At 47.1% G+C, this 13,462-nt stretch overlaps 1 protein-coding gene across 16 annotated transcripts in view, besides 1 other annotated feature; it reads left to right on the top strand.

Moving 5' to 3' along the window:
- REEP1 (receptor accessory protein 1) overlaps nt 1-13,462 on the top strand; it is a 124,091-nt gene that overhangs the window by 85,939 nt on the left and 24,690 nt on the right. For 15 of the 16 annotated variants that reach the window (NM_001164730.2, NM_001164731.2, NM_001371280.1 and 12 more), the window contains one exon: nt 75-188. The exons of the other annotated variant lie outside the window; for it this stretch is intronic. In NM_001164730.2, coding sequence (NP_001158202.1) covers nt 75-188 — 114 coding nt within the window. The remainder of the gene's footprint in view (nt 1-74; nt 189-13,462) is intronic. 16 annotated transcript variants of the gene reach the window in all.
- Nucleotides 2,137-2,186: a silencer, noted in NCBI's record as "silent region_11711". NCBI's record gives its function as "represses an Ori minimal core promoter by ATAC-STARR-seq in GM12878 lymphoblastoid cells {active_cell/tissue: GM12878}" and the evidence as "EXISTENCE:reporter gene assay evidence [ECO:0000049][PMID:35858748]".

Genomic DNA, 13,462 nt, shown 5'->3' with positions numbered 1-13,462 from the left:
TCAGAGGAAAGGAAAGAAAACAGAGATGTGTTTGAACCTTCCAGCTCAGTGTGCCTCTGTTTTTCCTTTGACAGGAAATCGATGATTGTCTGGTCCAAGCAAAAGACCGAAGTTACGATGCCCTTGTGCACTTCGGGAAGCGGGGCTTGAACGTGGCCGCCACAGCGGCTGTGATGGCTGCTTCCAAGGTACTGTGCTGGAAGTACCACAACTACATGAGTCTCAGTCCCTCTAGTGTGCCCTGCTCATCACCTGTGCGACCACACAGAACAGGCTAAGGACCAATCAGTGGTTTTTCATCTTTTAGGGGTCCTTTTGAAAATCTGATGGAAAAAAATGCTGAATCTTGCCCCAGAAAATTCTCACCCCCCAACACACATGCCCACATACTTGCAATATCAAGAGGTTCCCAGAGCCCCTGAAGCTCATCTGTGCGTCCCAGGTTAAGAATTTCTAACTTATCCAACCCCACTGGAAACAAGAAAATAATAGAATTTCTAACTTACTTGGCACTTAGGCCTGGGAGAAACAGAAGAGGGCAGGGGAGAGAGGGAGAGAGTGCTTCTCTGCAGTTTCCTAGGGTGCACTGGGAGAGTCGCCTAAATGCAGTGGACAGGTGGAGAGACTACCTGAGCAAGCGGGTGGACTCACTCACGATCATGTGGCCCAGCAGATCCAGGGGAAGGAACCCAGGTCCTAGAATAAGTTGAGTGGTCCAGACATGGAGGTCAGTAATGTGCCAAGCCATAACAACTGAAGTGGAGGAGGTTTGAAATAAACACCAGTCTGTGGGATGTTGTGGTGTGAGCATTACTTCTTTCTCTATTCTCTCCAGCCCTTTTCAAAACTGTGTTTCTTCCTAGCATCTTCTCATATCACCCTCTTGTTGTCGTCAATTTGTCATTATTTACGTAGATCTGAAAAGTTAAATTGGTCAGATATTTCCTCTCATGTGAAATCAGCAGATCATCCTAGTGTTCCCCAGGGACAAGCCCTTCCCCAACAACCATGTGTGGAGTAGGGACCTACATTCGGCTGGTGGTGGAGGGAAGGCAGTTATGCTGATGATTGGAAAGACACAGTGGTTGGGAGGTGAGTTGTATTAGCATAAGGAAGTTTGTCCCTTGTGGTGATGTGAGGGTTTTGGGGAAGGAGGCGATGGGGCTTAAAAGGTTTGCAAGAAGATGATTAGTACAGATCTTGGTGCTCTATGAACATTGTGCGGATGGCAGGATGGAGGGTGCTGAGAGCCAGTTTCAAGAGACTGAGCTGGGTTTTCCTTGCCCTGAACCAAAGAGAAGCACATTAGGATCATTTCTGGAAGAGACTCAGCACACTGGGCCGGGTAGTTGCTTGAAAAGTACCTTTCAGGAAGCCAAGGAATTCTGCAGACAAAGCCTGGACAAGAGGGAAGGGGAACCAAAAATGAATGATTCCTCTTTCAGACAAGACCAGCTCCATCTATAACACAGAATTGTAGCTAGGTATCCCGCCACTCCATGTGGCAGATCTCGGGGTTGGGGGTCCAGGGGGTCTCTGCCCCTTTACTATAATAGCTGCTGGCAAAATGAGGGATCCCAGTGAGTATCTTTGGAAGGGAAATTCTGCTTTGGTTTCCCAAGATCAATCAGGATTTATGAACAGCAATAAATTCCAAGAACCTTCTATTTGAGATGCAACCATTTTATGCTTTAATCTTTAAGCTGAAACAAAAGAGAACTCAGAATTGCTAAATTCTGAATTCATCAGGCCAACCTGGCAACGTAAAGCTACGGAAACCCTGTCTCAGCCTCTCTCTACCCCATCTGTTCTGCCTCTGAAGCCTGAGGAAAACAGGCTGCTGCTCTTTCCTCCATTCATTCCTGGAGTATAAACGTGCTATATCTGTCAGGGTGGTTCAGTGTGCGTCACCTGGTGGCACAGCTGCGTGCATGTAGATTTCATTCTGACAATAACTTCTGCAGGCCATCCTTTTCTGGGTCTGCCTCAAGATGGAGCCTCCAGAGTCTTCCTATCATCCTGGCCAGTCACTGCCTGTCCCCTAACCACCCGGGAAGCCCGTGAGCCCGTCTTCTCCATCCAGGCACCTTATAGCAGCTGAAACCTAAAAGAAGCGCCAGACAGTCTGAAAGTTGCCTCAGGAAATAACTGCTCATTAGTTCTTTCCAGCTGGACTAACGTAGTGAGGGACATCTGCTTTCTGTTGAATTTGGTTTCAGATGAGAAAATTTTCTGCCTTGTGGGGCTTTGCTTTTTCTCTCTAAATATAAATATCTGGAGAGAGAAAACACATATTCTCTTCTAAAAATAATGCCCTCTATTTTTGAAACAGATGTGTACTTAAAAAAAAAATAAAAGAAGAAGTAAAATCCAAAAATCCAATCTAGCTGAGGTGTACATCAGTGGTTTCCATAGCAACAGTGGATCACTTCAGGCCTTGGTCAAAGGATGATGACTCACCAGTGGGTCCAAATCTGGCTTGCATGCCCAAGCCACCTGGAGAGCTTTGCTTTTTATTTTTTTTTTAATAGATTCTCAGATGTGCTGAATCAGAATCTCAGGCAGTGGGCCCATGAATCTCTATTTTTAACAAGTTCCCCAGATGATTTTTAAACAGCCAGCTCTGTACAAGTCACTGCCTGAGACCCCATACAGAACCATAGGGGGCACAGGTGATGAGGGTTAAAGCAGTTAATTTCAGTAACATTCCTGGAATGCAGATTCACCTCCTTGGAAGCCTTAACCTTGAGAATGAGGAAAGCAGTGGCGTGTGTGTGGGAACCGGGCAGCGGGGAGGGGGAGGCCGGTGTTTATTTCTCCAAAATTTACTGCCAGTTGAGAAATACTATGATGGGACTACAAATTCTCCCACTTTTTTTTTTTTTGAGATGTAGTCTTGCTCTGTCGCCTAGGCTGGAGTATAGTGGTACAATCTCAGCTCACTGCAACCTCTGCCTCCCGGGTTCAAGCAATTCTCCCTGCCTCAGCCTCCTGAGTAGCTGGGATTATAGGCGCCTGCCACCATGCCTGTCTAATTTTTATATTTTTAGTAGAGACTGGGTTTTGCCATGTTGGCCAGGCTAGTCTTGAACTCCTGACCTCAGGTGATCCGCCCGCCTCAGCCTCCCAAAGTGCTGGGATTACAGGCATCCCACCTCTTTTGTAGTGCTCCCAAGAGCCTAGCACAGTGCCTCGCACCTGGCTGAGCCCTTATCAATCTTGTTGATTACCCAAGGGGAATAATTAGAGCAACTGTCTGAAAAAAAGACACGCTGCAAAGTCACCCATAGCTGGGGTGACTATATAATTTATTGTTCAAACCAGGACACATTTGAGAATGTAAAGCATGCTTATAATAATTACTCTGAAACAACAGGTCTAAACTAGGCCTGTTTGGCCAGTCATGGTGGCTCACACCTATAATCCCAGCACTTTGGGAGGCCGAGGTGGGAGAACTGCTTGAGCTCAGGAGTTAGAGACCAGCTTGGGTAACATAGTGAGACCCTGTCTCTACAAAAAATTAAAAATTAGCCAGGCATGGTGGCATGTGCCTATAGTCCCAGCTACCTGGGAGGCAGAGGCAGGAGGATCATCGCTTGAGCCCGGGAGGTAGAAACTGCAGTGAACCATGATCACGCCACTGCACTCTAGCCTAGGTGACAGAGCAAGACCTTGTCTCAATAAATAAATAAATAAGTAAAATAAAATAAATAAATAAATAAATAAAATAAACTAGGCCTGTCCCAAGGAAACCAGGATTTATGATCAGGTGACTCCTGGCTTCATTTTAAATTTCTTGGACCTGCCTGTCTTCTCCTCCCACAAAACACCCTCAACTTACAAATCAGTTCTCACTCTCAGTATCTACTGCATTTAGTGAAAGGGATGCAAGAGAGAGTGTTGCATGGTGAGAATACTCTTCCTTAGGATCATTCCTGGAAGAGACTCAGCACACTGGGCTGGAATTACAGGCCAGGATACAGATTAGTTCTGACAGATTAAATGGAGGCTGGGATAAAACGATGGGATGAAAGAGTAATTCCTCCTTCTGTCTTCTTTTTTCCATACTTCAGTGACTTTCTAGGAGGAAACTATGGAGCTTAAACTGAAGAATGAAAAATCTTTTGACTACACTTTTAGTTAATCCTTTCAAAAATAATGTTGAGCCCTGTGTCCTTTCTCTAATAAAATTAATGTTTGCAGGAGTGTTTTTTGTATCATCATGAATTGTGGAAAAAATTTGTAAACCACATTATTATATAAATAGAAGTCCTGGCCAGGCATGGTGGCTCATTCCTATAATCCCAACACTTTGAGAGGTCGAGGCAGGCAGATCACTTGAAGCCAGGAGTTCGAGACTAGCCTGGGCAACATGATGAAACCCCGTCTCTCCTAAAAATACAAAAATTAGCCTGGTGTGGTGGCATGCACCTGTAATCCCAGCTACTCGGAAGGCTGAGGCAGGAGAATCACTTGAACCCGGGAGGTGGAGGTTGCAGTGAGCCACTGCACTCCAGCCTGGGCGGCAGAGTGAGTGAGACTCTGTCTAAACAAACAAACAAAAAACAACAACAACAACAACAACAAAAGGAAGTTCTTATTAATTTTTGTTTATATAAGGTCTTTCTATGTTGCTTAGGCTGACCTTGTATTCCTTGGTTCAAGTGATCCTCCTACCTCAGCATTCCAAGTAGCTGGGATTATAGGTGTGCACCACCATGCCCAGCTTATTAATGTTAATATTACTGTTTTGTCTTAGAACTGGAAGAGCTAAAACAAACAAAAAACATCAGGCATGAGAAATTTCTTCCAGGGAATTTAACCCCTATCCCACCCTCAATTTCCTACAAGGCTAACCCCTATCCCCGGGAAGTGTTGATGCATCTTTCTTTGAGTGAAAACTGCTGTGCGTCCTTCCTGAGGAAACACTTCTCAAGAACCCTCTGTCTCAGCATTCCTAGTCTCTGCTGGCTCTGCTCCTACATGGTACCTGTCTCCTAACTGGTAATTCCATCCAGAGGGAAAACTGAACCCCAGATCTTTTTAAGACTAGAAATGAAAAGTCTCTCTCTTAAAAAAAAAAATAATGCTCTAGAAATTTATTTGTTAAGCAAAACATATTCTCACATGAAAAATAAACCATAGGCTGGCCGTGGTGGCTCACGCCTGTAATCCCAGCACTTTGGGAGGCCAAGACGGGCAGATCACCTGAGGTTGGGTGTTTGAAACCAGCCTGACCAACATGGAGAAACCCTGTCTCCACTGAAAATACAAAATTAGCCGGGCGTGGTGGTGCATGCCTGTAATCCTAGCTACTCGGAAGGCTGAGACAGGAGAATCTCTTGAACTCAGGAGGTGGAGGTCGCGGTAAGCCGAGATCACACCATTGCACTTCAGCCTGGGCAACAAGAGTGAAACTCTGTCAAAAAAAAAAAAGAAAAAAGAAAAAAAAAGAAAGAGAGAAAGAAAAAGAAACCATAGTGAGACGAACCACTGAACAAAAATTTTAAAACCATGGGGTCTCCAGGCTACCTTACTTCCCTTGCAGTTTGAACCACATACTAGGTTTCTTCTGCCTGCTGAATTCTCAGACCTGGTAAACCAACATTCATTTTTCACTTGTCTCATAACTCGAAAAATAATGTTTTAGTTCCCCCGGAGATCTTGTCTCCAGAACATTTCCAGTAGTACCAATACTATTACTATAGTCCACCTATTGAAGAAAGCTGCTCTAAGTAAAACCAGCATTCTGTGAATTAGGGATTCTTCTCTTGCAGTTTGTTTTCAGAGTTGTGTTTGTGTGTATATGGCTCCATCCTCCCCCATCCCCAAATCTGGTATTGTAAGCTTCTTGAGATGAGGGGCTCTGGCTTCTTTTCCTTTGTTTCTTGCTTAGAAAATAAACAAAAACAGAACAATGCTTTGTTATTTAGTGCTTTGCACTCATAGCTATTCATTAAACCTTGTTGATTGATTTGAAGTATATACCTTTTTGATTCCTCTAACCCTGCCCTGTCTAATATGGTATCCACTTGCCACATGTAGCTGTTTAAATTTAAATTAATTAAAATTGAGTATACCGGCTGGGCACAATGGCTCATGCCTGTAATCCCAGCACTTTGGGAGGCCAAGGCGGGCGGATCACGAGGTCAGGAGATCGAGACCATCCTGGCTAACATGGTGAAACCCCGTCTCTACTAAAAATACAAAAAATTAGCCGGGCGTGGTGGCGGGCGCCTGTAGTCCCAGCTACTCGGGAGGCTGAGGCAGGAGAATGGCGTGAACCAGGGAGGCGGAGCTTGCAGTGAGCCAAGATAGCACCACTGCACTCCAGCCTGGGAGACGGAGTGAGACTCTGTCTCAAAAAAAAAAAAAAAAAATTGAGTATATGTTGGGGACCAGCCTCAACACCACCCATAGGGTAGCTGAAGTCCGGTGGCGACAAAGGAATGAGAAGAGACAGGTTAAGAGTTCCTAAAGGTGGGAGCCAGGGGGCCAGTTGCAAAATGGAGGCTGCAAAAGGCCCAGAGTTCTGGTCTCCACACTATTTATTGAGTACAATCACTTAGATCTAAGAAGCAGATGTTCAGGGCAAAACAGTGAAAAGGAGGCAGTGCGTCATAGGTGCAATCTATAGCAGTAGTGGTTTAAATGAATCTCCTTTGTGCTCAAACAGCATATCTTTAACTTATCGGAGAGTAGCTAGTGGGAGCGGGCTTAACCAGGAGCCTGCACGTCTGTCCACATTCCAGTGTTTCAAAGGAGTGTCCTTCTCCTTGAACACAGTGTTTACAGATAAGAGAGCAGGTCTCGCTCTGAGCATGGGAACATGATGGCAGTTAGGAGGCTTTCCTCCTTAGAGGCCTCTTGTGGCTTTCCACAACTTATTGTCCCATATTTTTGTGGCCAGTTTATACAGGCACCCCACAAGCCCTTTTCCCAACAGTATACCTAAAATTGAATTCCTCAGTTGTACTAGCCCCCCACCCCCTTTGTTTTTGAGACGGTGTCTCACTCTTGCCCAGGCTGGAGTGCAGTGGCACAATCTCAGCTCACTGCAACCTCTGCCTCCCAGGTTCAAGCAATTCTCCCTGCCTCAGCCTCCCGAGTAGCTGGGATTACAGGTGCCTGCCCCCACGCCTGGCTAGTTTTTGTATTGTTTAGTAGAGACAGGGTTTCGCCATGTTGGCCAGGCTGGTCTTGAACTCCTGACCTCAGGTGATCTGCAGGCCTCAGCCTCCCAAAGTGCTGGGATAACAGGCATGAGCCACCGCACCTGGCTGTACTAGCCCCATTTCAAGTCCTCATTTGCCAGTATGGCTGATAGCACATTTCCATTATTGAAGAAAGTTCTTTTGGACAGCACTGCCCCAAGCCCTTTGTTAACCCTCCAGGGTTCTCCTTTGCCTGTTTTTCACCCCTTTGCCCACAGTTGCTCTGGCTTCAAAAGGACACCCACCCCTCCTTACCTACTCAGCTCCTTGGGGCCTCTGTATATAAGGTTCACCAGGAGCTGGAAACTCAGCCTATAGCAGCACCCATGCTGTAGCTCTTATTTCTTCTTCCTCTTTACTGGTCTGGCCCGCTTTCACACCATGACCTCTGCTTTCCTGACTTGCTCTCTAAAACTCAGGCACTTGGCCTGCAATTATAGTCAGCGGCCAACAGGCGATAGCCAAGCGTTGGTTATAGCCCTTAGCATCTGAACAGCCAGGCACAATCCACTGAGAGTTATATTATTTTGTTTTTCTACTTAAAAAAAATTTTCCCACTCTTTCCTTAAAAAGAAAAAGAAGATCTACAAAACAGTCAGCACAATAGAAAAAAAAAAGCCCTCTCCCACATATCCTTATCTTTTATCCATCAGTGCTCTATCTAAATGTCTGGCTTGAATAAAATACTGCTTTTAAATCACCATGAAACTATTTTTGGAATCAAAAGCTCATTTGAGGAAGTTCATAAGCCCAGTGATTTGGGGTTTCTGACCTGACTGGAGTCAGTTGCCTTGCCTTTGTTTTGCTTTCTAGCAAAAAAAACTACCTGTTAACAATTAGTCAGAGGGCAGGCATTGATTTTCTTTTTATAAAACCTCCCTGTGTCAGCTCATACTTAGGAGATATTTCCAAGGACGGAGAAGAGATGACTGCTGTCCCCTAACCAGATCTGTATGTTTCACCTCTCTGGCTTTAGTCTCTACCATCTATTGAATCAAAGAGGGTAAGGATTCCAGAAAGCCCTATGTTTGTCTCTTCATCCCTCAGAGGAGCATTTCCTGGCCACTGTGCTAGCTCACATCAAGTTAGCCTTCTTTCTTCATTTTTTAGCCAAGGACTATGTGACATGAAGTTAATATTTAGAATTCACCACGGCAACCATTTTTAAACACCAAGATTATCTAAACTGTATGGACAAACTGCTGAAAAAGTTTGGAAGTATTCCCTACCCTCCAGTCTCCCAAATATTAGTCAACTCGTACCCAAGTTTCACTCTCAAAATGTGTCGAAGCAGAACCAAGCAAGACTTTTTACCAGTGTGCTGGATTCCGGCTCTCCCAGTGTTTCTACCTGGAGTGTTACCTCACCTCACACTGCTCCATGCATAGTGAAGTGGATTCAAATGAATGAAACACCCACATCACACTCAGCTGAAGAGGAAGGGCCAGGAATTCACACGGAGTTGGCGGTCCGACATTACTTACCTGCTCTGTTCTGTGGCTACCTGTGGAGATTGTGCAGCCTGATGCCTCAAGGGTCCAAGAGGAAAGAGGGAAGCCTGCCTGCCTGACCTCACAGGGCCTGGTGGAACCTAGAGGTCTGAGGAAATATTTGAGGATCATGCGTGAGTGGGAAGGGCTGTCTCTTGGCTGTGGTGACATGGCACCTCCTCGTTCTCCTCTTCTCTCTGATTCCCCTCTCATGTTTGCCTCCTCCCTCCTTTCCTCACGCCTCAGTGTTAGATGAATTTCTCTGGGCCCCACCTTTCTCTCCTCTCTCTCCTAGCACCATCTCATCCTGTCCCTCACCTTCCGCTGTCACCTGATGACCTGGTTCCCAGATGGGCTTCTCTGCCCAGGGCTCAATCCAAGTGTTCCTGGTTCTCTGCTGAATATCTCCCTTGTTTCCTTCATACTTTAGTTGACAGTCCTGTAACTCCAAATCTGCCCTTCCGTGTGTCCCACCATTCTGATGATAATGAAATTACCATCTTGTCAGGCACCCAAGCTCCAAATCTCTGTCACCTTTGATGCCCCACCTTCCTCCCACTTACTCTTCAAGCCCTAACCATTTGACATCCCTTCTCTGCATTTGGGCCTTCCTCCACACCCTTCCTTCTAGCTTGGACTCTTGCAGTAGCTACCCAAATGGTCGACTGCTCTCTCCCTTCCTGTTTAAGTCCTGTACAGTCCGACCCTGATCCTAGCCTTTCAGTCTTGTCTCTCCTTACCTCTCTGGCTCTTGTGATAACTGCATTCACAGAACTGCCTTCTGTACTGTTCTGGAAATAGCAACTCTGAGCGCTGTTTCCAGAATTTTCTCTTTCTTGCCTCTGCCTTTGCTCATGTTGGTGCTTCATCTGCCTCTGTTTCTACCTCTTTGAAATCCTCCCCACTCTTCCAGGTTAATGCCATCTCCTCCAGGTTAATGCCGTCTCCTCCATGAAGCCTCCTCTGATCCCAGGTAGAACTGGCCTCTCACTCCTGGGTCCTCTGCACTAATGTCATCATGTATATGTGTCTTACCTGCATCTCCATAGGTGCTCAGTAAATGTTAAAGGAATGAAAGACTGTTGTGCATATTTTTAGCTGCCATGACCAACAGAGCAATACTTAGAATCAAGGATATCCAAAGTTGGGCTTTGGAGATAAGCAGACCAGGTTTAAAAGTCCCAGCTCCCTGCTTACTGCTGCACCTCTGTGAACCTCGCTTCTTCACCTGCAAACAGGGATGATCATAGTACCTGCCACAGGAGTTATGAGGCAGTGTAAAGACTTCACAGAATGCAGAGTTTATAATAAATGTTTAATAAAGGTTGCCTGTTATTTGCTCATATGTCAGTTTGATCTCAGGCTGATTATGATCTTCTCTTTCCTCACTGTTGAACAGAATAAAAAAAAAAAAGTCAGGCCCTGGCATTGGGACGTTATTTACAAGGCAGGCTCTTCTGCACAGGAGGCTGACTTGCCTGCCTTGTCCTGGCCCACCTCGCATGTGCTGTGTCTTCCTGCGCAAGCCACGCTCCCCTGGGCTCAGGGTTCCCCACTGTTCTGGGCCTGACTTTTCATAGGGGTGCTTCTTCTTCCTCTTCCACCCTGAGGTGTAGCTTATGACACATGAGCACCTGCCACCTGCCAAGACAGGAGGAAGGTCAAACGTGGGCTGCTGGAGCAGCTGGAACCCTCACTTCAGGGAGGAAACCAAGCAGGGGTTTGAGTGACTTGCCCAAGGTCATGCAGCTGTTAGTTGTTGAGCTGTGATCGGCACCAGGGTCTCTAGTTCCTCCAGTGTCCTTGCATCACTCCAAGCACTCCCCACCCCAACACATACACCCTAAACTGACACTTCCTGGCTGTTTTGTGCTTGGATTACACTACCAGGCCCTGGTGGCTGAGTACCTGGACTGTCCCTCACTGAGGATTTTAGAGTCTCTCACACCCCAGGGTACTGCTCTTCTGATGATCGATCAGCTCTCTCTTGGCCTTGTGGTGAGGCTGGGAAACACTTAATGCAGGGTGAAAGAATGAGGATCACAAGTACCTGTCACCGTAAGTCACAGTTTCTGTAAAGCTCGATCACGTGCGATAGCGTGGGCATGTTTGCACACCAGTATAATTAGAGCTCACTTTGCACCAGCGGCTGGGCAGATTTGTCCTGTGGGTCCCCCTTCCCACCCTTAGTCCTTCCTGCCTTCTCATTGTCCCTTTCCAGCAGGGCCTTTGCCTCTGAAGGAGGAAGTATAGATGAGGCAAAGCTTCCAGCTGAGACTTCCACAGGCAAGGCCAGGGGCAGCTGCTGTATGTGGAGGGTCCCTCCTGGTGGCCCTGACTCCCCATCACCGGGCAAGGGCCTGGCTCAGATGGCCGGGCTTGGTCTGGCTACAGAGACCCAACTCACCTGAGCACTGTCATTGGTCAGCACAGGCCTGTCTAACCTCCCAGGCTTCCACTCCTCACCTCCCATCCAGCCTGCTCTGAACCAGAAGCACCAAGCCCACCTCCCTCACCAGTTAATGCTTGTTCTTGCCTGCTGTCTCTCCTTAAGGGCACTTCCCAGAAAGGAGACTAGAAAATACCGTCTGTATTCCAGATAACCACGTGCCTGCTGCAAAGTGAGAGAAATGGGGAGAACAGATACTGGGTGCAAGTTCTTGGTATGTGCCACGTGGCATATCTAGGATGTTCTCATCATTCAACATCCTGCCTCCTTCACACTGCTCACCTCTCAAAAACCTTCAGTGGAGTGCTCAGTTTATTGTCAAAAACCAAGTTTAGGCAGCTGAAGCCCAGTTCTCCCAGGCTGGTCTCCTTTTACTCACTGGCACCAAAGCCTCTTCTCCCCAGGTGGGTTCACTCACCGTTTCCCAGGTGCACCTTGGGTTTTCGTCCACTCTCACGCCCTGGCCCAAAGCACTTCCCCGCCAGCACGTGCCTTCCCCCGCCCGCTTCAGAGGATGCAGCCCTCACCTCACTCCTCACTCGGGTTCGACCCCTTGTGTGAGAGGATGAGGCCTCTGCACGTGCTCAGCCACGGTGACGGTGCCATCCCCTGCCCTGTACTCTGGCATGATGTTGGTCATCTTTGTCACTTGTGGCCTGGCATGCACTTTTGTGTCTTGATGCCCCAACTAGACTGTGAGCTCCATGGGAGCAGGGACCGTACCATCCTCGTCTTTGTTCCTCTGCGGTGCTTCACGCAGAGCTTCGTGAACACTCCAGCAGCATCTGTTGCAAGTGAGTGAATAAATGGGTGAGCGAGCGAGGGAGTGATGGGAGGAAAGAGGTGAGGACATGGCTCCCTTCAACTCCATTTTATTGCCTTGGTGCCCATGGCTTTTTTCTCCTTTTCCCCTTTATCAGGTGGCTCGACTCTTTCATTTTATCTTCTCTTTGGACCTGAGAGAAGGGCAGGTAACCCTGTTGAGAGGTGTGACTAACTCCAAACTGATCCAGTTGGGCAGCGAGGCCAGGCCACCGGCTCTGCTCACCAGCACGTGGTCTGGATCAGAGGCAGGTGTCCCCCCTGCCTCGGCACCTGCGTGTGCATGTGTGTTAATCCATGTGGGGCACACGGAGCCAGGCCCCACTTCATCGTCTTTCCAGAGACTCTTATGGTGTGAATTTGGTAGCATCTAACATGTGATTAACTTACTTGGGTTTTTTCTTTTCTTTGTTTAATGCCTGGAGAATGGATTGAATTTGATGATGGATGCTATTGCAGTAGAAATTCTCCTTCTCTGTTTGGTTTGTTAATCCCATTTTGTGTCACAGACAAGGGCCTGGTCCTCATGCAGCATGTCATTGGGAGCCTGCTTGGCTTGGATGTGGCGCATGTATGGCTGTGGAGGCTCACTCCACCAGTGAGGCGGGCACCCCATGGGGTTTGGAAGGAAGTACTAACTCCTTCTGAATTACTGGTGGGAAATGCGGTTGTGCTGGTGGCTTTGTTATCAATTTCCTGACTCACTAAAACCCTTTGTCTTTATTGTTGTTGTCCTCAGTAGCAGGCATTAGATATTGTGTCAAGTGAGATGGGCTAAACTTCGTGCTTTGCTGGAGCCTTCCCCTGTGACTTGGTGTGTCCCTCTGGAAAAGAGGACCTCATTAAGGGCTCAACACTCATTCGGTTTCTGGAGATACCATGTGCTCCTTCTTAGTTCTGTGTTGCTGTTATTGCTGTTTTAATTACTCCTATGTCTTTTTTTTTTTTTTTTTTTTTTTTTGGTCTAGATGGCATTGGTCAGCATCATGCACACTGTATATTCACAAAATGAGGTCCTCAGGGTGACCTTGAGTGAGTGCTGTGGGTGTTACTGAAAATTAAATTGTACTGATTTTTTAAAGGTAATGCATGTTCTTGGTGCAGAATTATAAAAGGACAAAAGAGAGTGTCCAGTGAAGAGTAAGTCTTACTCTTACCCCTGCCTTCTACTGGCATGGTTGTTTACGAAGAAACCACGTAGCCTTTCTGCAGGCATTTCCGCTATTCAGATACATCCCTGGCCATGAACAAGGTATAAGTGGACCCCCATCCCCTTAGCACACAAAACTACAAAGACCTCACTTGGGGTGGATTGAAGTGGCCGCTCTCAGTGGTGACAAATACTAACACACATTCCTTCTTTTTCTACCTGGTTTCTATCTTCACCTACCCAAGTCCTCCACCCACCCAAGTTCAAGCGCAGTCTCCTCTGGGATGCCTTGCCTCTCTGATGTGTGCCTTCTGCCCTGTGCACCCACAGCCCTCTG

This window comes from Homo sapiens, chromosome 2 (assembly GCF_000001405.40).
Source record: "Homo sapiens chromosome 2, GRCh38.p14 Primary Assembly".
Classification (NCBI taxonomy): domain Eukaryota; kingdom Metazoa; phylum Chordata; class Mammalia; order Primates; family Hominidae; genus Homo; species Homo sapiens.
This window is presented reverse-complemented; position numbering and strand designations above follow the sequence as displayed.